Consider the following 26651-nt stretch of genomic DNA (forward strand, 5'->3'; position numbering starts at 1 on the left):
CCCCACAAAATAATAATAATAATAATAATAATAATAATAATAATAATAATAAAGAAATTTTAAAAATCCCAAGTGTGAGAAAGAAATCAATATCAGTCACTCTTTGTGAATTTGCAAATGGGCCAATTTCTACCCCTGAATGATTTCTCTCTTTCTTTTTAATTAAGTGGACATCTGCTACAAATCGGGGTAGACTGAAGTGAAGCTCTTTCCCACACTTGGGAATACCCACCTCATTGAGGCAGTTTCCGTTGTAACCATGAACTAGACAATGACACCCCCATGAAACAATGAGAGGACTGGGAGGAACACTTTCGTTTTTTTTTCTTTTTTTTTTTTTTTGAGCTGGAGTTTTCGCTCTTGTTGCCCAGGCTGGAGTGCAATAGCACGATCTCGGCTCACTGCAACCTCTGCCTCCCGGGTTCAAGCAATTCTCCTGCCTCAGCCTCCCAAGTAGCTGGGATTACAAGCGTGTGTCACCACGCCCGGCTAATTTTTGTATTTTTAGTAGAGACAGGGTTTCAACATGTTGGCCAGGCTGGTCTCAAACTCCTGACCTTGGGTGATCCGCCTGCCTCGGCCTCCCAAAGTGCTGGGATTACAGGTGTGAGCCACTATGCCCAGCCCAGGAGGAACACTTTTTAGCTGTGACATTGATTGCCCAAAAACAAAAAATTGAGGACTGGGATGTTAGTGGCAGTCCTGTTGTGATGGTATCCAGCGCCCTGTGCCAAGACCACCACTGGTTTCTTCTGTTTTCAACCAAGAACCATGACAGAGGCAATCTCCATGTGTTAAACTCTTACGAGAGGTCGGAAATCTCGTCCATGTCTTTCCCTGCTGACTCCTTAGAGTTTTACAATCCCTTAAAAGTCCTGTGTGTTCAATTAATGCTTGCTGATGGACCGTCTCTCAGTTGCCCCAGTCTCCACCTTCTCACCAGATGTGAGATGCAGGGGTTCTGTGTTTTTCTGCACAAAGAGGGCAGCAGTTGGACTACTGAGCCCCAAACCACAAAGAAGCAGGGAGGCTCCTGGCTGACAGGGGCCTTCGGGTCAAAGACAAGAAGGCTGATCTGAAAAGTCACATTACATCCAACAGTGGAAAAACTCTTTGAAATTTAAACATAAAAGGGGCAGAAAAGGCCTTGTACTCTTTACAGAGGAGTGGAAGGGTAAGGAAGAGAGTGAACTTTTACTGTTTGCTCCTCATCAAGAGGCAGCAAAGCCGGGTATTTATATACACACACACACAACATTGACCTCATTTCATCTTCACACTGACCCTGCACTCCCCCGCCACTGAAACTTGAGGGAATTGAGTCTCAGAAACATCCAGTCATTTGTCCAGAGTCACAGAGCTGGTAAATGGCAGAGCTGCACTTTGTACCCAGACCCAGTGATTCCGCTCCCATCCTGTTTCACCACCCAGTGAAGGTTTGGGGCAAGCAGGCAAAGAGGGAGGGAAAAAGGAAGGAAATCAAGCTGAAAAGAGTCTCCCTCCCTTTTGACATCCTGTAATCCCTTTGTATTTCTCTTAGGACTCTGAGTTCATTGTGCTGAACGTTTTCTGTACAAGCCTTCGCTCTGGGACAATCTGAACTCTCTTTAGGGCAGGGACTACTTTTCTGTCCCCTCTGTTTCTCCTGCTGCCTTGTCCCTTGCTTTGAGTTGACCTGACTTATTGGTCCTGGTTCTATCATGTTCTTCTCTTCCCATGATCTCTTCTAAGGTGACCAGATGGCCCTTGCTGAACTACACGTGACTTTCTTTTGTGTTAGTGAAAATGAAGGTTAGGTTGCCATGGCCCAGAGTTACTTGACATTCTCATTGTTGAATCTATTTATACCACAAAGCTTTCAAGTGCCAATAAATTACTTGGCTGTTGATTCACATCTTCGGTATAACTATTTTTATACACTGGTATGATTTTTTTTTTAAACGGAAAGTGCTTTAAAAGTAGGAGCTGTATTGTATCACTGTGATTTTCCTGTAAGTCAAGTACTTTCCAGTCAATCATTCTTGGAATAATGAAATAGTTCTCATTGATACAACATGATGGTTTTAACCTTTTACTGAAAATTATTTTTGTGCCAAAAGGGGTGATGGCATAATTCATCTTCCTTCAATATAATACCCATGTGGCTACTACCCTTTGCCTTCTCACAGTGATTTCCTCTTAAGGAAGAGCTGCTCTTATAGAGTGGGTGTGGCATCTGAAACCCCTGCCTTCCTGAGGTCCTTGACACTTCTGGGTTCTGAGTTCTAGTGGTGCCCATTGAGGAAGCTGGGGAATCAGGGAAGCGCAAGGACAGGAAAACTGGCCCCATGGAATACCTGAGCCTTCTAATGGGGGTGGGAGGGGTGCCGGTGGGGAGGGTTGAGGATTTAGCAGGGCTGGTGAGAGATGACACTCATGAGCAGCTGGCGAGATGACCCCAAGGGGAGAATCTGAGAGGCAGGAGCCCCTGAGGCAGCGCCTGGAGCTGGGTATGGGTCTGGGTGGGCAGCCTCTGCTGCTAGGGCTCGAGGCAATGTTGCCATAGGGAGGCTGGTTTCTTATTTCCCTTCCCCTCCGTTTCAGACAATCCTGTCTGTCCATAGCTGCCTCACTCCTCTCTCCCTCCCATTGTCCCTTGCCTGCCTGGGCCCTTGACTATGGCCATGGGTTAGTTCCTTCACTGAAGGTACCTGACTCATGTCCCTGCTTCTTAAGGCTCTGCTCTCTAATAAACGCTGTGGAGCTGGCATAAATGTGTGACATCCCCAGCAGAGCACACTTCCATGTTAATCTGAGTCTGCTGGTCTGCGATAGCTTTTGTTTTGAGGCTCTGCTCAGAGTCAGGCTCTCTGCTGAGTGCTTTCCAGGTTATGGCCTTTGTTTTCATCAGAACCCAGGGGAGGTAGGCTTATTTGGGGCTGCGGTGTGCGATTAGGCAAAGTGGCATTGCGCAAGGGTGCCCAGCTGAGGGCTGAGAGTGGGCTGTGGGCCACGGCCAGCTCACCAAGCTGTGTGCCTAGCAAGAGGGGCAGCTTCTTCTATAATAATTTGCACAGGGTGTCACAGACGCCAGCAGCAACCCTGGGCCATCTTTATTTTACGCTGAGGAAACTGGGATTCAAGGAGGTTAAATCTCTTGCCCAGTGTAAAGAAAAGGTGGTAAATGGCAGTTGAGATTTGTACCAAGGTCATCTGTGCAGGAATTCAGCAGCAGAGCAGATGGAGAAGCTATTTTGGGGGAAAGAGACTGCCCACATTTTCCCATTTCCCCATGGGAAGGCTTATGTTTTCCATAGTGATGAAGAAATACAGGGATGGAAGAGGGAAGGCCATGAAGCTCCAGTGAGGCTCCACTGCATGGGGGGTCCATTTTCCTCTGTGTGCTTGTGGCAGGAGCAGAGAACATGAACTAGCGTTGTCCTGGGCAGGTGTGGGAGAGGAGCAGGGGTACAAAGGAATCAAAGGTTTCAGGAAAGAATATTTCAGATGAACAGTCGGAGAGTCTGACCTGGATCAGGAAAGAAGAGAGGTCAGGAGGGGGTCAACAGGCAAGGAGAAAGTACAGGGAACTAAGACAACTGGGAACGGCGTAGAAGAGTTGAAAGCCAGGGGCTGCTCAGAGAGGAGGATGTGAGGTTTTACCGGAGAACTGAAGTGGTTCCAAGGAGGTACTAGCAATGTCCTGGAGGTTGTCATGGGAGTGGGAGGCTGCAGTGGAGTGGAGGTGAAGAGTCACCAGAATAGAGGGCATCTAGGAGCTATGAGACTTGGTAATGGTTCATCCTCATGGCACTGAAGTCATCCCACATCATGACAGCATTGGGACAGAGAGAAAAATGGTCATGTAGGCGCCCAAGTCCTAGATAAACAGACATGGAGCAGGAAAGGAAGTTGGGGGGTATGTAGCCATACAGTTTCAGCTGCTATGAATATAATGGGTCCTAAATCAGTATCTTTAGCCCAGACTCTCCTCTGTCTTTGGATTTGTGTATCTAACCACCCGTGAGCCTGCTTAACCTGGCTCATGTCTCTTGCAGGCAACTCTAACTCAACACGGCCGAAATGAACTCAAAACTCTGCCTTAACATGGACCTCTTCTTATCTTTTCAGCTTGTGGCACCTCCACACTGAAAACCTGGGGGTCTCCTGGGCATCTCCTTCCCATATACTTCATCAATCACCAGTTGTCGAGTTTAAATCCTAAATGTTTCTCAAATCTGTCCTCTTGTCTCCACTCCTACCCCCACTGCCCCAGTAATGTTCACATCACCTCACAGGGTCACATTAACTTCCAAGCCAGTCTCCCTGCCTCCGGTCTGGACCCTTCCAGCCCATCCTCTACACTACTGCAAATCTGTCCACGTGGCCCCCGTGGCATCAACTTCTTAACATGGCACACGAGGTTCCCTAAACCACTTTTCCAGTTTCATCTCTTACTTCCTCCTATTCACTTAAGGAACTTACTTCTTCCTATTCACTTACGGGTCTCAGTACATGGAGACACCTCGGCTTGGACTTTTCCCTAGACTAACTCCTATACTCATTTTTGGAGACTCAGCTTGGGTATTAACTTGGCCATCACATATTTATTGCCTAGCACTATGTTCAAAGCACTGTGCTGTCCCGGAAACCACCAGTCTCAGGCCCTCTGGCTGCCCCCTGCCCTCCCCTTGAGGGTAGCACGCCTGTCTTCATCACCTCCCTGTCCTGAGACCTAGTGCAAGGCCTGGACCATAGCTGAGGTAGGCACTGACCGAACCAAGAACTGTCAGGAGGATGGGTGCTGAGCGATGAGGTGAGGAGCACACACTGTCCCAGGAACGCCCTGTAGGAGGATGACAATGGAACAGATGCATGAAAGTTCTGGTTTGCCAAATTCCAGTTGATAGAAAAGGGGACAAGTTGGAGGAAATGATGGGTATGAAGTGTAGCTGGGAAAAACCCCCAAGTGATGAAAGTCTCCAAGGTAAGATCTTGTCAGGCAGCTCTAACAGATTCCAGACAATCTTGCAAGAATGACGTCACTACCAAGCTTCACTTGTTAGGAATCCGTACCCACGCTGAATGAGTCACTACCCAAACTGCCGAGGGACCCTAACAGTTACAGCGCGTGCATTCCTCCCCGATGTCTTCATGCATTCCATCTCACAAGTAGATGCCACTTTCTTCTCTTTTCAAAACCTCTCCCTACACAAAGCTATTCAGAGCCTACACTGTGGACATGAATTCCTCAGCCATGCTTGTGGTTTTAGAAGCCAGGGAAAAGCAAATGGGATGAAACATGACTAAATCATAAGTCAATGCATTATTTCTTAAAAAAGAATATTGCCAGGGGTTCAGGAAAGGGAGAGAGGGCAAATGTAAACCACCAGGGTCTCTGTTACCTCCCACCACCATACTGGGGCCACCAGATTCCACCAACAGGGTCAGCCTTGCTGGCTACACTGGGTTTAGGTCAGAATTTCTTCAAGGGAGAGTGTTTCAAGGAGGGCTGCGCCAGCTGCTGAGATGGCTCATACTTAGGCTGGCCCAGGGGCCAGGCTTGCTCTGCGCTCTCTTCCAAGTTCTAAAAATGGGGCTTCTGCCTTGTTCTTGCCTGCAGGAGGCTGAGGCGTGAGTATCTAGCTGACTGGGCCTGGGAACGTAAAAGTCATTCTTTGTCCTCCAAGGGTTAATCACTGACAGGCAGGAGATATGGGTGTCATATGTACCTGGTTTTAAGTCCTGCCTCTGCCCCTTGTTGTTAGGTGTCTTTTTTTTTTTTTTTTTTTTTGAGATCGGCTCTTGCTCTGTCACCCAGGTTGGGTTACAGTGGCGCGATCACGGCTCACTGCAGCCTCAACCTCCTGGGCCCAAGCAATCCTCCCACTTCAGCCTCCTGAGTAGCTGGGACTACAGGTGCAAGCCACCACTCCTGGCCAGCTCTGTCATCTTTTAAGAATGGTAAATTCACTGTCTTTTCACTGGCAATAAAGGTCTTGTGTCATTTTTATTTCTATTCATACAACTGGAAAATGTTTTTTTCAACTGGGACAATGCAGTAAATGGTTTGGATTTCAGACAGACCTGGGTTTAAGTCCTAATTTCACCACTTACTAGCTGTGTGACCTCTGGCAAGTCACTCAGCTTTTCTGTGGGTTTATTTATCTGTACAATGGGAACTTACCTCATAGGGCCATTGTGAAGACTGAATTAAGTAATGTATGTGAAAAGGCTTAGCACAGTGCTTGGCACAGAGCAGGTGTTCAACAAAGGTGAGGCAGACAAAGATGGTATTATCTCAGTGGCCCCTTAAGTTGCTCAAGTTTTTGGCAGAGAAAGCCCATGACCTAGGTCAGAGGGGGCCAGACAAGGCTTCTAAGAAACAAAGTAGGTCACCATCCTAGGGCACAATCCATAGGATTGTGAGACAAGGGGTTTATGCTGTGACTGGCTTTATGTTTCCAGCTCACAGTAGAAGGATAAAGGCATCCAGGAATGCACTTGGAGCCAGGAAGAGGTGAAGGCCAGTGTCCTGTGGCCCTTGTTTATGAGGGATGCCAGGCTCCAGAGAGTTCCAGCCATGGTCAACATTGTGTGCTGGGGTCTCTGAAATCCATTCCCCATGCTTTCATTTGGGGAGGACGTGCAGAGGGAGAACACTGAGAGAGGCGTCTGGACAGAGGCCTAGAGCTGGGGCGGGTAAGGCTGCAGGACAGGATGGGAACAGGGTTACTGCTGGCAGGGACAGCCTGCACTTCCTCAGTAATGCCAACTTGATGGAGCATTCCACTGTCTACCACAGCTAGCCGGCCACTGGGCAGAGGGCTGCCACCCATGGAGAGGAGATGTAGCAGAGGCTGGAGGACGGGGCAGGCAGGCTGAACAGATGGTGCAGGAACAGTGTGATTTTGGAGGACGTCTCTAGCAGGGCAGTGCTGGAACCTGAGGTCAGGGCCTATCCTGATTAATGATGGATATAGGGCCACCTGACCTACTTACTCCATGTCATCAACCTCGCCACTCAGAGTGAACAGAAGGGCCCTGCCTACAGCCTTCATTTCATCCAGGGCATGCATTCCCAACTGGGGCTATATCTCCCCGAAAGGGGTCAAAATCCATTCTTGGTGGCAGTGCGTGAAAAAAATCTTAGATATTACACAAATGCTCTCCAAAGGGCCACAGTATACACACACACACACACACACACACACACACACACACACACACAAGCGGTCCCAACTTATGATGGTTCGACTTATAATTTTTCAAGTTTATGACAGTGTGAAAGTGATACATATTCAGTACAAACTGTAATATAATGTTTGGTAGGTGTGTTAGGCAGTTCTTGCATTGCTATAAAGAAATACCTGAGGCTGGCTAATTTATAAAGAAAAGAGATTTAACTGGCTCATGGTTTTGCAGGTGTACAAGCATGGTGCTGGCACCTGCGTGGTTTCTGGGGAGGCCTCAGGGAGCTTTCACTCATGGTGGAGGACGAAGCAGGAGCAGGCATGGCACATGGGGAGAGCAGGAGCAAAAGAGAGTGACGGGGAAGATGCCACGCACTTTTGTTTTTGACACAGGGTCTCACTCTGTCACCCATGGCTTACTGCAGCCCCAACCTCTGGAGCACAAGCCAGCCTCCTGTCTCAGTTTCCCGAGTAGCTGGGGAAAAAAAAAAAAAATATATATATATATATATATATATATATATTTTTTTTTTTTTTTTTTTTTTTTTTTTAGAGAGAGAGTCTTGCTATGTTGCCCATGCTGGTCTTGAACTCCTGAACTCAGGCAATCCACCTGCCTTTGCCTCCCAAAGTGTTGGGATTATAGGTGTGAGCCACTGTGCCCCACCACCATACTTTTAAACAACCAGATCTTGAGAGAACTCACTCACTATTTTGAGGAGAGTGGCAAGGGGATGGTGCTACACCATTCATGAGAAATCCACCCCCATGATCCAGTCACCTCCCACAAGACCCCAGCTCCAACACTGGGGATTACAATTCAACATGAGATTTAGCAGGGACAGCATCTCAAGTATAGCAGTAGGTTAGCTGTATTAAATGCATTTTCTATTAATTATATTTTCAGTTTACGGTTGGTTTATCTGAATGTAATCCCATTGTAGGTCAAGGAACATATGTTTGTGTGTGTGTGTGTGTGTGTGTGTATGTGTGTACGTGGTATAAAAATTTCACGGGGGAAGAGGGAGGGTGATTAGGAAAAAAAGTCTCAAAAAAGTTTCCTTGGCATGGGATGATGATGAAAAACAAAGTTTGAGAAAAAATGAAGCAGGACCTCTTGTCCCAAAGAACTACCAGTGGCCCAGTCAGGGACTTCTAGTGAGTTAAGAAGCCCTGCGCAGCAACTCTAAGTTCAATGCACGCTAATACCTCCCTGCTTTCCTCACTGAGCCAGAAATCCCTAGCTCTGTCAGCCAGTTCCTCTCCTGTTTACCTCCATTTACAGTCTCCATGGCCACCAGTGAGTCCTAGGGACACTCAACCCCTGGAGTGAGGAATTTAACAAGAAGATGAGAACCCGCGTGGCATGGCCTATCTTTCCCAAAGTGGGAAAGTGGAAAGGTTCTCCCCTATGCAGACAGGACTGAGCGGTCTGTTTGTGAACATGCCATTAGGCACAGTGCCGCTTACACAAGAGCCTAGTTCCACAGCTCAAATCTGAATTTTTCTTTTTCTTTCTTTTCTCTTTAAAAAATATTTTTATAGAGACAGAGTCTCTCTTTGTTGCCCAGGCTGGTCTCAAACTCCTGGCCTCAAGTGATCCTCCTGCCTTGGCCTCCCAGAGTGTTGGCATTACAAGCACGTGCCACTGTACCTGGCCAAAATCTGAATTTTTCTAACTTCTCTTATCAGTGCATATTTCTATCATAAGGATGAGATCACATCCTTTCCTGAACCTCAACCTTGCAGCCTTCCCTAACCAGGTCAGTTTATGAGCATCATGATGGACAGTGAGAGTTCAGTTTTCTTATCATTATTGTGTAAGTGCTGACTTTTTTTCTAAAGAAATCTGTAGGGAACATGACAAACCATTATGTCGCAAATGTCCATGACTTTGCCTTCTACTACCAGCCACCTTGATTTTTGACATTTAAATTTCAATTATTAGCCAGGTGTGGTGGCTCATGCCTGTAATCCCAGCGCTTTGGGAGGCTGAGGCGGAAGGATCAGTTGAGGCCAAGACAAGCCTGGGCAACATGGTGAGACCCTGTGTCTACAGAAAATACAAAAATTAGCTGGGTTTGGTGGCATGTACTTATAGTCCCGCCTGCTTGGGAGGCAGAGGTGGGAGGATTTATTGAGTCAGGGGGTGGAAGTCACAGTGAGACAAGATTGTGCCCCTGTTGGATTGTGCCACTCCATCCTGGGTGACAGAGCAAGACTCTGTCTCAAAAAAAAAAAAAAGTCTGAGATAATCCATTTTTTAATTACTCTGCAATTAAAAGACAGAGCAGGGGCCAGGTGCGGTGACTCACGCCTGTAATCCCAGCACTTTGGGAAGCCAAGGTGGGCAGATCACTTGAGGTCAGGAGTTTGAGACCAGCCTGACTGACATGGCAAAACCCCATCTACACATAAAAAAAGTACAAAAATTAGCTGGGCATGGTGGTGCGCACCTGTAATCCCAGCTACTTGGGAGGCTGAGGCACTTGAACCCGGGAGGTGGAGGTTGTTGTAAGCTGAGATCACACCACTGCACTTCAGCCTGGGCGACAGAGCAATACTCTCAAAAGAGCAAATATTTTCTGGCTTAATGTATTTCAAATGACCACTTTCATATGAATCAAGTCTGAAACTGCATGCAGCAAAGTTTTGATATTATTTTTGCTTCTGTCTTTTAAATAGGTACAATTTTTTTGTCTTGGCTCTACAATTCATTAGCTATTGGATTTAAAAAAACAACTTTGAGATATAATTAATATACATATAATACACCCATTTAAAGTGTACAATCCAATGTTCTTCAGTATAGTTACAGAGTTGAGCAACCATCACCACAATCTAATTTTAGAAATCTTCATCTCCCTTGAAAGAAACCTCATACTCATTAACAGTCACTCCCCATTCCTCCCAACCATCCACAGGCCTAGGAACCACTTATCTGCTTTGTCTCTAGAGATTTGTTAAGTGGGGCCACATTTTTGAGCAAAATCATTTCATATTCTAATTCTATAATTAAACAATAGCTTATTGTTCCATAATTATCCAATAATGTAACCATAATAAACCAATTATTAATATATTCACACCTAATCTCGATTTTAGCTGGCACTTTGTGCGAAAAGTGAAGTTGGTGTTGGCCAGGTGGTTCTGTGTTATTGAAACTTCATTCCCAATAAGCACTGAGGCAACAGGTTTAGCTTCCTTCCTGGCCAGAAGTGTTCATTAAAGAGTTTGTAAAGTTTTCAAATTAAATTATAAATGTACCAGGAGCTTGCTGTTTAAGAATTCCTGGCCAGGCACGGTGGCTCAAGCCTGTAAACTCAGCACTTTGGGAGGCCAAGGCCGGCGGATTGCTTGAGCTCAGGAAGATGGCAAAACCTCGTCTCTACAAAAAAATGCAAAACTTTAGCCAGGTGTGGTGGTGCACACCTGTGGTCCCAGGTACTCTGGAGGTTGAGGTGGGAGGATTGTTGAAGCCCAGGAAGTCGAGGCTGCAGTGAGCTGTGCACTCTAGCCTGGGTGACAGTGAGACCTTGTCTTAAAAAAAAAAAAAAATCCTATGATGTTGTTTGTAAAGGCTAATCTCTAAGGTAAAAATCCATCCACATTCTTCTCAAACACAGATACATTCAGGGGTGTCTAATCTTTTGGCTTCCCTGGGCCACACTGGAAGAATTGTCTTGGGCCATAAAATACACTAACGATAGCTGATGAGGTTTAAAAAATCGCAGAAAAATTCTCATAATGTTTTAAGAAAGTTTACAAATTTGTGTTGGACAAACTTGCATTAACTGGTTTGGTCTGTAAATCTTGGTTTCCATAGACCTGATTTTCTTGAGGGCTTTTCTTTTCGGTCTCTCTGCAGTGATTAATGTGTGGCAATGAGCACTGAGCTTCCTCCTTGAAGGTCCAGACACCCCTGCACAGGCATAAAATGATATTTTTAGGACAGACCCTTGCACTGCTGGTGTGTGCCATGTTCCAGGCATAAGAGCTTCAGTATCCACACAACATAGTTGGCCCTGATGGCTCATTTCCCAGCTTTCCCGGGTCCTTGTAGGAAACAGCAAGTTTGAAAACTGATATATTTTTCTTTTGTATTTTTTATTTTCATTTTTTTGAGACTGAGTCTCACTCTGTCGCCCAGGCTGGAGTGCAGTGGCGCGATCTCAGCTCACTGCAACCTCTACCTTCCGGGTTCAAGCGATTCTCCTGCCTCAGCCTCCCGAGTAGCTGGGATTACAAGCGTGCACCACCATGCCTGGGAAATTTTTGTATTTTTAGTAGAGACGGGGTTTCACCATACAGGTCAGGCTAGTCTCAAACTCCTGACCTCAAGTAATCCACCCACACTGGCCTCTCAAAGTGCTGGGATTACAGGCATGAGCCACCTTGCCCGGCCAAAAAATGGATATATTTTTCTTTTCTTTTTTTTTTGAGACAGGGTTTCACTCTGTTTCCCAGGCTGGAGTGCAATGGCATGATCTCAGCTCACTGTAGGCTCAACCTCCTGGGCTCAAGTGATCCTCCTATCTCAGCCTCCCAGGTAGCTGGGACTACAGGTGGGTGGTTAATTTTTTTGGTATTTTTTTGTAGAGTCAGGGTTTTGCCACGTTGCCCACGCTGGTCTCAAACATCTGGGCTCAAACGATTCGCCCGCCTCGGCCTCCCAAAGTGCTGGGATTAAAGGCGTGAGCCACCAGGACCGACCTGAAAATGGATATATTAATATTTTTCTAGCATTTTGTAGCTACTAGTCAGGCAATGGTTTTCCTCTCTTAATACCAGATGAATTGGTAGGCTGAAATGGCAGAATCTGAGACACATCCATAAGGCCATTATATAGACAAAAAGGTATATCTGGCCAGGGAAATGATAAATATAAGCCTTTGCCCCACTCATTTCCCTGACATAATGTTCAGGCTACCAGAATTCTGCCTGCAGAGTGTGACATGACTTTCAGTTTTCCACAGCACTTTCTGGTTTACAGGGCATGTTTGCAGATGTGATTAAATTTGAATTTCATTGCAATGCCGTGAGGTAGGTAGGGTGGGTCTTTGATTTTCCGGATGAGAAACCAAGTGTAAGAACTTGCTCAAGGTCAAATGGCTAGGTGATAGAACTGGAACACCTTGGTTAAATCCCAGTCCCCATTAAAGCAGTCCTCTGGGGAGGCCATAAATGTATTCTAACTTTGCTCAAAAATATTTTGAAACTTCTCTTTCAGTACCTTCAAAATCTGTAGCATATCTTTGAATATCCTCAATGGAGGCACATTTCATCTCAGTCAGTGATTCTTAAACTTGAGCATGCACTGGAATCGCCTGGAGGGTTTGTTAAAACACCGACTGCTGGGCTCCATCCCCAAAGTTTCTGATCCATTAAATCTAAGGTGGGGCCTGGGATTTGTGTTTCAAATGACTTCCCAGGTGATGCCGATACTGCTGGCTTTAGGGCCATATTTTGAGAACCATATCCTAAGGAATTTATTTCTGGAAAGAGTGAATTGTTTAAAGCCAAGTCTAATGATTAAGGTGAGGGATCAAGCTAGGGAACTCCACCATTGGCCAAAACCAATGGGCAACTGTAAAGAACAAGATCGGCTCTGGCAGAAATTCAAATAAAGAGCTCCAAAAAGGTTCTGAAAACAACATGTGGTCTGAATGTGAAGCTTCCCAATGTGACCACTTTAAAAGGAAGAACACTCTTGCATGTGTGCTAAAGAATTCTCACAAGTGTACAGGAACACCTTGCACAAATTTACATTGTGAGATGTTCACTATCAACCTTTTATTCTCAGCTTAGGAAAAAAGAAACCATGGAGGTAACACCCACATTAGTACTGTATTAAGGAGGGATTAATAGTGATTTACAACAGCTGAACTGATTACACTGGCATGGCAGAGGTCTTTTTTTTCTTTTTTTGAGACAGGGTCTTGCTCTGTCACCCAGGCTGGAGTGCAGTGGTGCAATCACGGCTCACTGCAGCTTTGACCTCCCCGGACTCAAACGATCCTCCCAACTCAGCCTCCTGAGTAGCTGGGACTACAGGCATTTGCCACCACGCCTGGCTATAAAAAATTTTTTTGTAGAGATGAGGTCTCTCTATTGTTGCCCAGCAACTCCTGGGCTCAAGCGATCCTCTTGTCTTGGCCTCACAAAGTACTGGGATTCCAGGAATGAGGTACTGTGCCCGGCCACCAGAGGTCCTTTCTATGCTGCAAAGGTGTGGAAGATGAGGGGGAAACTCCAACTCTTCATACCCTGAGTTTTTGGTTGTGATTGGAATGGAAAAGGTGAAAATATTTAATTTTGGATGCCAGAAATAAATATGTAGTATTTTGTGGGGGGGAATCCCAGCAGAAAGGAAAAAAAATGAACTACATTAGGTACTTAAGCTGGGAGAAAGTCAATCCTTCATGTCACAGCAGGGAAAAAAAGAGGTGGAGGACTGCCTAAATATTGGTTCTATTTTAATTCCAATTCTACATTACATTAAACTCTCCCTGTACTCCTCTCTAATTTACAGCAAATGCTGACACAAATTGGTATGCCTTCTCTTCTTTGACATCAGTGTTTCTCTTGAATTATGTATTTCTATCTGGAATGAGGTTTATGAGGCTAAAGCCTTCTTTCATTAAGATAGGTGAGAACAGAGAAGGATCAATAAGCGGTTGAGTGCAAAATCAAAGTAAGGTGGGGCTAAGATATGCTCAGGGCAGCACTTCACTGCCCAAAGTGACCATAAGTGGTATTACGAATGACACTGATCTTCTGAATTTCAATACATTGATTATATTTCAACTACTATAAAACAAGAAAAACTCTATTAACTTTCATCCCAGAACTGCCAGATTCTTCCTTTATTGGTACCCTACAAGTATTTAGTAACCATTTTTAAGAAAGAGTACAGATAATCATAGTAACTGCATCACTTGGATTCCATCTAAAATTGAGTCAAAGACAAAAGAAATCCCCTGCCTGATGCAGTGTGTCTCAGCCATCTCAGTCTTCACACAGGTTGAGGTGCTTGGTTGTGGTGCTCAACCTACCTCACAGGTTGGTGCCATGGACAGATCTGGCCCCACTATTGTTGACAAATGGCTCCCAGTCCAAGTCAGCCATTAGTTCATATTGACAGAGGCCACTGGCTGGCTCCATCTGGGGCCTGACCGTGTCTCAGGGTCCATTCTCAGCTTTGTTAGTTTGTGATGGGCTCTGGGCTGGCTGGTCAGACCAGGACTGAAGTGGAGCATTTTGACGAAGGTGTTTTGAGATAACATTTGTAAAAAATGTAGATATACTGTCTTGTATTGCCAAATAATATACAGAACAGACATGCCTGATCCTTTCCCTTTTCTATACCTCATTCCACCCTCGGCCCAAGCCTGAGCCTCACCCTCTAGGTAATCTTCAGCCATCTCTGAAAACTCTTCCATTTTTAATCTTTACCTATCACCCACTTCACCCCAGGAATGGGAACTGGAGATAAAATGAAACTCTTTGTTTTTTCACATTTCTTGATAATTTAAAAGAGAACATTTTCTGTTTTGCTTATAATAATGTAAAAATTGTCCCTGAGTCAATATGGGCACATTAATGCAGCTCAACCATAATGTTCTTTGGCTGAAACTGGCTGTGCCCAGCAGCCTTATGGTGATGTGGCTTACGCACTGGCACACCCCTTGTTTGGCCAGCCTGAGGAACATGTGAAGGACACTGTCACCCTGAGAGTGGGCTTGGGCCAGGAGCCCATTGGGCTGCTCTAGCCTCTCTTCAAGTTCAGGGGCAGGTGCTGCTCCCAGCCATGGCCCTCACCGCTCTGCTGGCTGGCAAGCTGCTGAGAAGAATGGCCTGTGGAGGCTGAAAATTGCTGAAAACCCCATTCTGCCCAAAATGTTTGCGGTGGGTTAATTTATTCTATAATTTAAAGAATTCCATGTTAATGAAAGAGAAGTGGAATCCTGAGAGCGAGCTAAAAATGGAATTAAAAAGGGCCCATTCTTCAGGCAATATTAATGAGAGCTTTGTATATATATTGGTGAGTAAATCGCAATTAAAACTAAAATGTCTGTTAGTGATTCACTGAGTTCTAAAGGTTGGCCTTTTGCCTTTTGTGGTCAGCAATCCCCTTTTTTTTGTGACCCCACTATTCTAGACAGAAAACAGTTAATCCAATAGGACTTAGTATCTTACAAAAGACTCGCTAAAATATTTTCTGCTAAATGTTCATCTTCTAACAGCTGCTTTTTTATTTCAGTGAGAGGTACTTGAAATAAAATCATTGTTCTCCAAGAAAAATGCATGCTAAATAATACAGAGCTACCAGATTATTAAACAGCAAAGGCATTTCATAATATTAGCACCAACCACAGGTTCCACTTCTGCTGATGCACAAAATTTTGAGTAATTAGTCATTGCACAATGTTGTATTTATATTCATTTTTGCTCGAGCTGTTAGGCCACAAAATCAGTAGGCAGTTGCTGTTATAAAAGGATTCTCTGGGTTATTTATAATGTTTCTGCTTCTTCACACTTGCTGCTTCACTCTTGGGTCTTGAGCCAGGTCTACACTGTGAAAATGAAGGAAGGAACTGAGCAATTGTTCTGTGAATCTAACTGCATTGAAAGCTGGTGTGGATGATTCACAACCAACTGTGTATGTCTTGGCTGGTGCACCTGGTATATTTGTCTACACAACCCAAATTCGTCATATACTGGCTGATTTGTCACTTTATCAGGGAAGGATGCATAGTTACGTGAAGGCTGTGTTTCTACCAGGAATAAGCTAGTGTCTAAGGCACAGGTGGTAGGGCAAGTATCTGAACTAGCATTATGTTGCAAAAGAGTTACCTTCAAATGTCAGTTACTTTAAATGAAGGATTGATTTCTGCTCCAAATGCTTGCCTGTTACACAGATCATTCATTCCCTAGAAGGCAGGCATACTGGATGGAAGGGCATTTACCGGATGGAAGGGCATTTATGGATCACCTGAGATTTTAATTTTATTTTTTGTAAGTTATACAGGCATCTTTCTGTGCTATCTGCAGAGAATCACTGATGACAGGAACTCTTTCTAGTGGGAGTAGGTTTTAGCCTTTATGTGAGTCGGAGTAAAAAATATGCTGAAAACCACTCAGACTGACAGAATGATCTGTTTGTTTCAACTATGAAATAACCATCTTAGTTATCGCCCCACTGCCCCCACTTTTTTTAAGGAAATGAACTATCTTTATGTCATCTGAATTCCCATGAGCTCTCAAACCCACTTCTCAGCATCCCCATTTCCACTTCCCTAGTCCAGGCTGCCACCATCTCTCACCCAGATCAATACGACAGTCTCTGGACTGTTCTCCCTGACTCCAGTCTTGTAAACTCCAATTTATTCTTCACACAGCAGCCATATTAATCTTTTTATAAAGTATAAATCTGATCAAATGTATCCCTTGCTTAAATGGCTCCCCATTGCCCTCAGAAGTGTGAATTCTCAGAAGTGGCAAAGGAAGCCCTTTACAACCCAACCCTGCCACCTCTCCACTTCATCCTTAACTCTCCTTTGTACTCAGGTCTTTCCAAATGGAACTATTTGAAGCAGCACAAATATGCCATGCTCCCTTTAGCTGCTTCATGAGCTGCTGCCTCTGCCTGAGTGCCACTTTACCAAGCTGCCTCTGCCTTATCCTTCAGCTCAGCTCCTTCCCTTACCCTCTCAAACAGCTTCCCTGGGCTCCTCAGGCTAGGTGGGCCCCCTCCACTGCATCACCATGGGACTTCTCATTCTAGCTGTATGGACTATGCACTCTTCTAGATTCCAAGCTCTTTGTGGCCAGGGACTGTCTTATTATGCCAGTGTGTCCCTGGCATACCAGTGTATATCCACTGTGTGGCATGTGGAAAATTCAGAGTGTGCTGAATAAGAAAGTGTACAGTGGGATGTGCCTCATTCCATTTTGCCATTCTTTCCAATAGAATATTTCCTATTTCTTAAGGAACTGTTTTCAGTTCTAGAGGCTGCTTTTGTATCATTAGTCTTGGAACTCCCACGATGCTCTGAGAATAAGATGAAAGGCAGCCTGAGGACCTTGACTGTGATCACTGCCTGTGAAGAAACCCAATTTAGGCTTCTCTTTGTAGCAATGTTGTAGCCTAGAGATCTGAAAACTCTCCTTCTACAAGATACTCAGAACTCTGGGATAAAACAGAAGCCTTATTACTATTAATATATCTAAAAAATAGAAATAAGATTTTCCCAGAGTCCAAAAACAAAGAGAGTTCTAAAAACTAGCACGGCAAGAGCATAAACTATGGCCATCCAAGCAGTTTGCTGGTCCGGGTAATCATGGGGCTTGGGTTTTAATGGCCATGTTTGGACAAAAGGTGGGTTTCAAGCAAAGTGGAGTGCTGGAACTAAGACTCCTACAGAAAAGATGAACCAGGAAAAAAAAATTCCACCACTGGCTCAGAGAAACAGCAACAAATCCTGTCACTGAGACTTTGTAATGTGATCCTCTTCCTAAGCAGTTTGGGTTGTGAAATTTATACTACCTTTTGAGAAGTGTTTGTTCATATCCTTTGCCCACTTTTTGATGGGGCTGTTTTTTTCTTGTAAATTTGTAAGAAATTTATGCAGCCAACAGACACAGGAAAAAATGCTCATCATCACTGGCCACCAGAGAAATGCAAATCAAAACCATAATGAGATACCATCTCACACCAGTTAAAAAGTCAGGAAACAACAGGTGCTGGAGAGGATGTGGAGAAATAGGAACACTTTTACACTGTTGGTGGGACTGTAAACTAGTTCAACCATTGTGGAAGACAGTGTGGCGATTCCTCAAGGATCTAGAACTAGAAATACCATTTGACCCAGCCATCCCATTACTGGGTACATACCCAAAGGATTATAAATCATGCTGCTATAAAGACACATGCACACGTATGTTTATTGTGGTACTATTCACAACAGCAAAGACTTGGAACCAACCCAAATGTCCATCAATGATAAACTGGATTAAGAAAATGTGGCACATATATACCATGGAATACTATGCAGCCATAAAAGGATGAGTTCATGTCTTTTGTAGGGACATGGATGAAGCTGGAAACCATCATTCTCAGCAAACTATCGCAAGGACAAAAAACCAAACACCGCATGTTCTCATTCATAGGTGGGAATTGAACAATGAGAACACTTGGACACAGGAAGGGGAACATCACACACCAGGGCCTGTTGTGGGGTGGGGGAAGCGGGGAGGGACAGCATTAGGAGATATATCTAATGTAAATGATGAGTTAATGGGTGCAGCACACCAACATGGCACATGTATACATACGTAACAAACCTGCACATTGTGCACATGTAACCTAGAACTTAAAGTATAATAAAATAAAAAATAAAGTACTTAGAAAAGTGCTTAGAAAAAAAAAAGGGTTAAAGTTAGGATTAAGGTATAGAGATAGACCTGAAGAACAGATCATCTAAAATATGTAGTTTTATATGCTGTAGTACATTTTAACAAAGGTTTCATAATATAAAGCAGAAATAAACAGACAAAAAGAAGCCATTAAAAAAAAAAAAAGAAATTTATACTACCTGTGTGGCCAGAAATTCACAAGCCAAGAGATCAAAATAAAAGTATTCCTCAGCTAGGGATACTCCTGGGGCAGCAGGCAGAAGCAAAGGCAAATTTCTCTGGCAAGAAATACCTTCAACCTAGACTACATAGGATTCTCACAGATCAAGTACCACTGAAGATAAGCTCACAGCCCGCAATTATAAAACATGTGACAAAACAATCTACCATGAAGAGTAAGCAGTTAGACATGAAATTAGTCCTCAGCAATTTCAGATAATAGAGTCAGCTAAAAGAAACTACAGACACATGTTTAAAATGATTAAAGACAAAATAAGAAATTTTAAAATAAGAATCTACCATATGAAAGAATGGACAGGTTTGAGATAGAATCAAATGGAAATTTTAGAAATGAAAAATACGGTTTCTAAACACAAAAACAGGTTTCTAAACAAATTAGGCATGGCTAAGAAGACAATTAATGAACTGGGCAAAAGACCTGAAGAAATAACCCAGAATATAGTACTGAGAGTCCAGGATATAGAAATTATGAAAGAGACAAAATTTAAAAGACATGAAGAATAGAAAGAGAAGGTCTACATAGATCTATATCTATATATCTATATATATATATGTATGGAGAGAGAGAGAGAGCGAATATCTAATAGGGTTCCCAGAGAAAATAGGGGAAAGGCAACAATAAGAGAAAATGGTTGTGAGTTTTTCAGAATTGATGAAAAACATAAATACTGAGATTCAGGAAGAAGAGTCACGAGCAGTATAAATAAATTCAGATCTAGATTCCCTGTAGTAAAACTGCAGAATGACAAAGAACGAGACATTTTAATAAGCTAATACTGTCTTCAAATGTATTATTAATAGCTAAGTTCTGGTTCAGTGTGGTGGCTCATGCCTATAATTCCAGCACTTTGGGAGGCTGAGGTGGGAGGATTGCTTGAAGCCAGGAAGGAGTATAAGACAAGGCTGTGCAACAAAGTGAGACGCCAGCTCTAGAAAAAAAAAAATCAGCTGGGCATAATGGTGTATGCCTGTGGTCCCAGCTACTCAGGAGGCTAAGGTGGGAGGATGGCTTGAGCCCAGGAGTTTGAGGCTACAGTGAACTATGATGGTGCCACTGCACTCCAGCATGGGTGGCAGAGTGAGACCCGATCTCTTAAAAGAAAAAAAGCTAACCTCTTCATAACATTAAGCATCTTAAACACAGGTGTCATAGTGTGTTTGTAATATTTTATTTCTTAAAACTATCAGAAGCAAAAATAGCAAAATGTTAAAAATCAATAAAGCTAGGTGGTGAGTCAATGGATGTTCATGATATTATTCTCTATACTGTTTAGTGTGGTTGAAATATTTCATTTGAAGGAAGAAAGGATAAAAGGAGGAAAGGAAGGAAGGAAAGAGAGGCAATCTGATTTGCCTTGGACTAGTGAGGGGCGAAATAAATGTATGTATTTAATGCAAATTATAGTCACATACAACTTGATCTAAACAATTAGATTCCTACATATTAAAACTAAAAGTTAAAGAGAATACTAAATGAAGGAAAAAGATTTTCCTAATTGGGAACAGGACAGTCATGCGGAAGGCACCTAGCAGATGTCACTATAATCTTTTTCTAATTTTTGTTTGCTTGACCAAGGAAAGAAAACAATGTAACATTTTCAGTTTTTAGAGCATCTCTTAGGGGAGATGTACTTCACCTAACCTCTGGATCCCTTTGATCTCCAAATCCATAGCTTTTTCAGAGGTTGTACCACAGTATAGAACACTTCTGTATTTGTTCTTAAAGGAACTGAAATAGGAAGAGGAAAGCAAGAATGAATTGCTTTATAGCTGAACTCTGTCCCACTGCAGTACATTCTGTTCACACACACACGTACACATAAGCACATGACATTCATGCAATTAACTGTTTATTCACAGTACATGCCATCAACATAGACATGCAAAGTATACACACCATTAACCTACAACACAAACACACATGCACACACTTTTATACAAAGGGCAGAGTTCAGCAAGCTATGAACCACACACCTCTTTTTCTATTTCCTTGTCCAACTCCATCAGCAGCAATGGGCATTGAGGGCAGTGGGCATGGCTCCCACTGCCATGGGCTCTATGGTTTGGCTCTAGGTGGTTTTTTTTCCCCCCTCTTTTTGAGACAGGGTCTCACTCTGTTGCCCAGGCTGGAATATAGTGGCATGATCTCAGCTCACTGCAGCCTTGGTCTCCCAGGCTCAAGTGATCCTCTTGCCTCAGCCTCCGAAGTAGTGGGGACTACAGACGTGTGCCACCATGCTGGCTAACTTTTTTTGTCGAAATGGGGTTTCGCCATGTTGCCCAGGCTGGTCTTGTACTCCTGAGCTCAATCTGCCCACATCTGCCTCCCAAAGTGCTGGGATTACAGGCTTGCACCATTGCGCCTAGCTCTAGGTGGTTTTCTTTCACCTCCTCATAATTTCAGGTCTACCCTAGAAACATTGTCACTCAATGGAAACCACTAAGAAAATCTTTTGTGTTGTCCTGGCAGTTTTGCTCCTGAGAACACCATTACAACACCCTAGGAAGATGGGCGAGGAGTAGACCACAGGCTCACTGCCATATTATCACATCAATGTCTTAGAAGCTTAAGGAGGGTGGACAGGTGGGGCTTAGACGTAGGAAGCTAAGAGGAAGCGAAATCCTAATCGTAGATGGGTAAGCAAGCTCCCATAACCTTATACAATGCCCTCTCACTGGGCAGAGGGACTATTTCATGTCTAGGTCCACAGAACATTCTAAATCTAGATTTAGTTCTTTCTCTCTTGACTTTTTCCAAGGCTGAAACAATGGTTCCTTTTCTGTACTGTACATCCACTTCCATACCCCACTTCTACTACCATATTCCTCTTTCAGTCCCTGGCCGTATTTGAGTTCTGAAGCAGGGCCAGGGGCCCAGATCCCCTCAGGGAGCCCCTAAGCTGTCAGGCGGTAGTCACATGTACACGCATGTCCAGGTCTGTGGGACAGTACCTTGGGAAAATGGAAAAAACAGCCTTAGATTTGGCCCTGGTTCAATTCCTCAAAGTGAAGATGACATTTCTGGTAAGCAGTTACAATTAGATTTCTAGAGCCCTGGGTATTCAACTGATCACACGCAGGATTAAGAAAGATAATTTAAAATATTGAATTCTGCCTGATTAGCTAATAAATGAGGTGATCTGTTGATGTGGAAGTAATGTAATAGAGCTAATATGGCCCCCTGGGCATGACAGATGTCTTGTGCCTTGTCTATCCATCTCTTCTGCAATTACCTTGTCCTCTGTCCTTTCCTTACAGTCAGTGAACAACTTTTTGTCTTCTTCATTTTTTCCAGCCACCAGAGTGTGCAGAGTTTTACTAACATCATTTCTAAGGTTAAGAGGGCTGTTTCGGAACCTCATTTGGGTTTTCTTTATTCTATGATGCTGATTTCAGAGATGTTGTGCACTCTCTGTAACTTAGTTTTTTTTGGCCTGGTCTTTGTATGACTGTAGGTAAAACAATCTAAGGATATGTGTTTTTTTGTTTTTTTGTTTTTTTGTTTTTGAGGAGTCTCCCTCTGTCACCCAGGCTGGTCTCGGCTCACTGCAAGCTCCGCCTCCTGGGTTCAGCCATTCTCCTGCCTCAGCCTCCCGAGTAGCTGGGACTACAGGTGCCTGCCACCACGCCCAGCTAATTTTTTGTATTTTTAGTAGAGACAGGGTTTCACTATGTTAGCCAGGATGGTCTCGATCTCCTGACCTCGTGATCCACCCGCCTTGGCCTCCCAAAGTGCTGGGATAACAGGCGTGAGCCACCGCGCCCGGCCTAAGGATATGTTTTAAAATGGAAAACTGGGCAATTATTCTGTTTTCAAATCATTTATAAGGAGCATTTATATCTAAGATTTATTGTTTCCCTGGGCATCTTAAATGTAGAACTTAAGGAATGTAAGAAATCCAGTTGATCCCCTAGTCCCCTGAGAAAACTAAGGCTTAGGGAGGGTAAGCGACTCTTAACACTCAAACTAGTTACTTTCCCAGAAGGAACCAGAACTCTTTTATTATTTGCAGAGGGCCTGTTATTATATGCCAAGCATTGTATTAAGCAGTGGGGTTGCCCCAAGAGAACCTCTGAGATGGACCTTAAGGATGGGCAGGAGTTTGCCTCAACTAAAAAGCTGGTTTGTGAATGTTAAAAAAGAAGAATCACATTTTCACTACCTTTATAGTTTAGCAGTTTATAGTTTAGCTTCTACTTAAAGAAATGTAATAAAAAAATGATTTGGTTATAGTGTCTGAGAGTGGTGCACCTCTCCTCCAGGTTTGATCATTCACTGATGAGAATGAATGAACATGAGTTGTTCCAGAACCTTTGCTGTCTGGAATGGGCATGATCCTGCAACATCACTGTCCATGTGTATTAGTCCATTTTCACACTGCTATAAAGAAATACCCAAGACTGGGTAATTTATAAAGAAAGGAGGTTTAACTGACTCACAGTTCCGCATGGCTGTGGAGGCCTCAGGAAACTTACAATCATGGTGGAAGGAAGCACTGTCCCAGGGTATACATGGATTATTTCATTTAACTGAGGCTGCAGTATACTGTACAAGGTAAGCAAGGCCTTTTCAAGATCTGGCAGCTTCTGAAGGTCTACAGAAAAGGAGTAATTATAGACGCCTGTATCATGACAAGTCACAAGTAGGCCCATCTTCCATGGCTGCAGGTGAGATAGAGCATGTGAAGGGAAGGGAGAAGAGCCCCTTATAAAATCATCAGATCTCGTGAGAACTCACTATCACAAGAATAGCATGGCGAAAAGTGCCCCCATAATCTAATCACCTCCCACCAGGTCCCTCCCTCAACACCTGGGGATTACAATTCGAGATGAGATTTGGGTGGGGACACAGAGCCAAACTATATCACCACGTGGTCCTGCTCCTTACCATGGTAGGAAGAAGCTGGAGTTGCATCATGGTGCATTATACTAATATACAGAGCCAAGAGAATATCCATTCTGCTTAATGGTGGGTGATACAAGCTCCTGGTCTACGCTACCTGGTACCTAAATGATCCATAAAGTGGTAAAGTGAACAATCAGGTATATAGGGATGTACTAGTAAGAACTAACACATACTAAGGGCTTACATGTGCCAGGCACTGTTCTCAGGGTATACGTGGATTATTTCATTTAAACGAGGCTGCAGTGTACTGTACAAAGTAAGCAAGGCCTTTTCAAGATCTGGCCGCTTCTGAAGATCTATAGACAAGGAGCCTGTATCATGACAAGTGACAAGGAAAGTCAGTGCTGGAATGTCAAATAAGAGAGAGTGAAGACTAGGCAGACTGTCACCAAATCAAGAGGCAGGGTGGTGACTGAGGTAGCAAGTACATGGGTGTTGGAGACAGACAGACAGACAGATAGGCAGACCGACCAACTTAAAAATCAATCCTGGCTCTGCCAACTTACCAGCTGTAGGCCCCTGGGCAGGTCATGTAACCTTTGAGAACCATAGTTGCCTCCTCCCTCAAACAGTCAAAAACCCATCCTGCAGGTTGTTCTGAGAATGTGAAGTAATGCATAGAGTCCAGCATGATGCCTGGCACAGTGTGGTGCCCAGCTTTTATTATTAGCCTAAAGAATCCTCATGCCCCCAAAGAATCTAATTTCAGAGGCTAATGAACCAAGGAATTTCAGAGGTCAGAGGTGCCTCAGAGATCAGCCACACCAGACACATCATGCTTAGATGAACAACCTGAGCCCCAAACATAAGACATCATTTGCCCAAAGCAGCACCGCTAGTTAATGGCTAAATCAGGGTTAGAACTCAGGCCACTGGGACTGATGACTACAGCTAAACCATATGCAAAAACCCCTGAGATATTTCACCAAAAAGATGATTTAGGCCAGTCCTCTTAGTTTGCTTTGGATTACTTTCTCCTTACAGAACAGCCAATTTTCTAGCATTCACTTCAGGTCACTTCTGAAGCACATTCACTTGATTCCTTGTGTGTATTAGGCTGCTAGGGCTGCTGTGACAAAATACCATGGACTGAATAGCTTAAATAATAGAAATTTATTTCTCACAGTTCTGGAGGCTGGGAAGTCCAAGATCAAGGTACTGGCAAAGTAGGTTTCATTCTGAGGCCTCTTCTCTTGGCTTGTAGGTGGCCACCATCTTGCTGTGTGCTCACATGACTCTTTGTGTGCACACAGAGAGAGAGAGAAAAAGGGAGAGAGCGAGAGAGCTCTCTCCCATCGAACCAGGACCCTACCCCTTATGACCTCATTTAACCATAATTACTTTCTTTTCCTATCTCCAAATACAGTCACATTGGGGGTTAAGGCTTCAACATATGAATTTTGGTGGGAACGCAATTCAGTCCACAGCATGGTGTTACATGTTCCTCCATCTTTCATGAACCATTCCATCCAGGACTGTTTCAAATGGGAGATGAAGTACGTGAACTACCAAATACCTAAACATGAGGCATCACCTATTGGCCGATCCCTTTTACAACTCCAGATAATCCATCAACTGAAGACCAAGCAATGTGGCAAAAGCCAGAGTTAATATCACTCAAGCTATGATTAATTGTGAGACTGAGGGTTGAAGAGTTAAATGGAAATCTATAAGCAGATTCATTCATTCAGAAAACCTGAACGTGAGGAAAATTTGTCTGAAGATCTGCTGTACATTTGAATGACGAACAGAAACAGTGATGCTTTGACATTTATTCTGGTATTTCCAAGAAGAACTGTATAAAATAACATGTTTTCTGAGGAATGGTTTCTTTAAAAAGATTAAGGAAAAAAACCTGTCAAAGTATATAACAAACTACCAGACAGAAGGAGCCTCAAGTGCCCTCAATAGGAAGGTAATGGAGATCTAAGTTTTTGGCACTAGGAGTCCATCCATTCAGAGTTTATCCTACGTCAAGGGGCTCCTCGGCCCAGTTACATGAAGATTATGAACTGCTTGAGAGGTTCTTTGTGAGGATAATGCCCAGTACACCCTCAGAGAAATGATATCACCGATCTTATTTGCTAGATGTGGCTCCAAATAGCTTTTGGTCATGCCCAAAGTCACATTTATTTCAAATTACAAAGTAATACATGAAAAATACAGGCTTATGGAAAAACTCAAATAATTCAGTAGAGTATGGAGTAGACAGAAGTCCCCCTTTATAACACCTTCTCCCCAGCCTATACCCCTTCCCAGGAATAATGATCATAACAGCTGGTGAGGTTTTTTCCAGATTTTAAAATATGCATTTACTTAGAGATAGCTAGAGAGTTACTTTCAAGTAAATGGCACTACATTATTATTCATATTTGCCCTTCTCCTATTGATGATTAGGAGGACACACCTTCTCAATTTTTGGTTATTGCAAACAAAGTTGAATTAAACATTCTTGTACAAATATTTGTGTATGTGAGCATTTTTGTAGGATAGACTCTTAGAAGGAGATTTACTATTCTCTCTCTCTCTCTCTCTCTCTCTCTCTCTTTCTTTCTTTTTCTTGAGACAGGGTCTTGCTATGTTGCCCAGGCTGCTCTTGAACTCTGGGCCTCAAGCAATCCTCCTGCCTCGGCCTCCCAAAGTGCTTGGATTACAGGTGTGAGCCAGCATGATCAGCCAAGATTTACTATTTTCAAAGGGAAAGTATATTTTAAAGATTAGTACTGTCAGCTGGGCATGGTGGCTCACGCCTATAATTCCAGCACTTTGGGAGGCCAAGGCGGGTGGATCATCTGAGGTCAGTTCAAGACCAGCCTGACCAACATGGTGAAACCCTGTCTCTATTAAATACAAAAAATTAGCTGGGAGTGGTGGCGCATGCCTGTAATCCCAGCTACTTGGGAGGCTGAGGCAGG

At 43.8% G+C, this 26651-nt stretch overlaps 1 protein-coding gene across 2 annotated transcripts in view, besides 3 other annotated features; it reads right to left on the reverse strand.

Moving 5' to 3' along the window:
- Positions 1 to 26651, reverse strand: part of RBKS (ribokinase) — a 109009-nt gene that overhangs the window by 12919 nt on the left and 69439 nt on the right. The window lies entirely within an intron of this gene.
- Positions 4205 to 5170: an enhancer, noted in NCBI's record as "H3K27ac hESC enhancer chr2:28021369-28022334 (GRCh37/hg19 assembly coordinates)". NCBI's record gives its function as "activates a minimal SCP1, AML or CMV promoter by ChIP-STARR-seq in naive H9 embryonic stem cells {active_cell/tissue: H9 hESC(naive)}" and the evidence as "EXISTENCE:reporter gene assay evidence [ECO:0000049][PMID:30033119]".
- Positions 4205 to 5550: a biological region, named in NCBI's record as "P300/CBP strongly-dependent group 1 enhancer GRCh37_chr2:28021515-28022714".
- Positions 4351 to 5550: an enhancer, noted in NCBI's record as "P300/CBP strongly-dependent group 1 enhancer chr2:28021515-28022714 (GRCh37/hg19 assembly coordinates)". NCBI's record gives its function as "activates an origin of replication core promoter dependent on BRD2, BRD4, P300/CBP, MED14 and CDK7 cofactors, with strong dependence on P300/CBP, by STARR-seq in HCT116 cells {active_cell/tissue: HCT116}" and the evidence as "EXISTENCE:reporter gene assay evidence [ECO:0000049][PMID:35650434]".

Source organism: Homo sapiens, chromosome 2 (assembly GCF_000001405.40).
Source record: "Homo sapiens chromosome 2, GRCh38.p14 Primary Assembly".
NCBI lineage: Eukaryota > Metazoa > Chordata > Mammalia > Primates > Hominidae > Homo > Homo sapiens.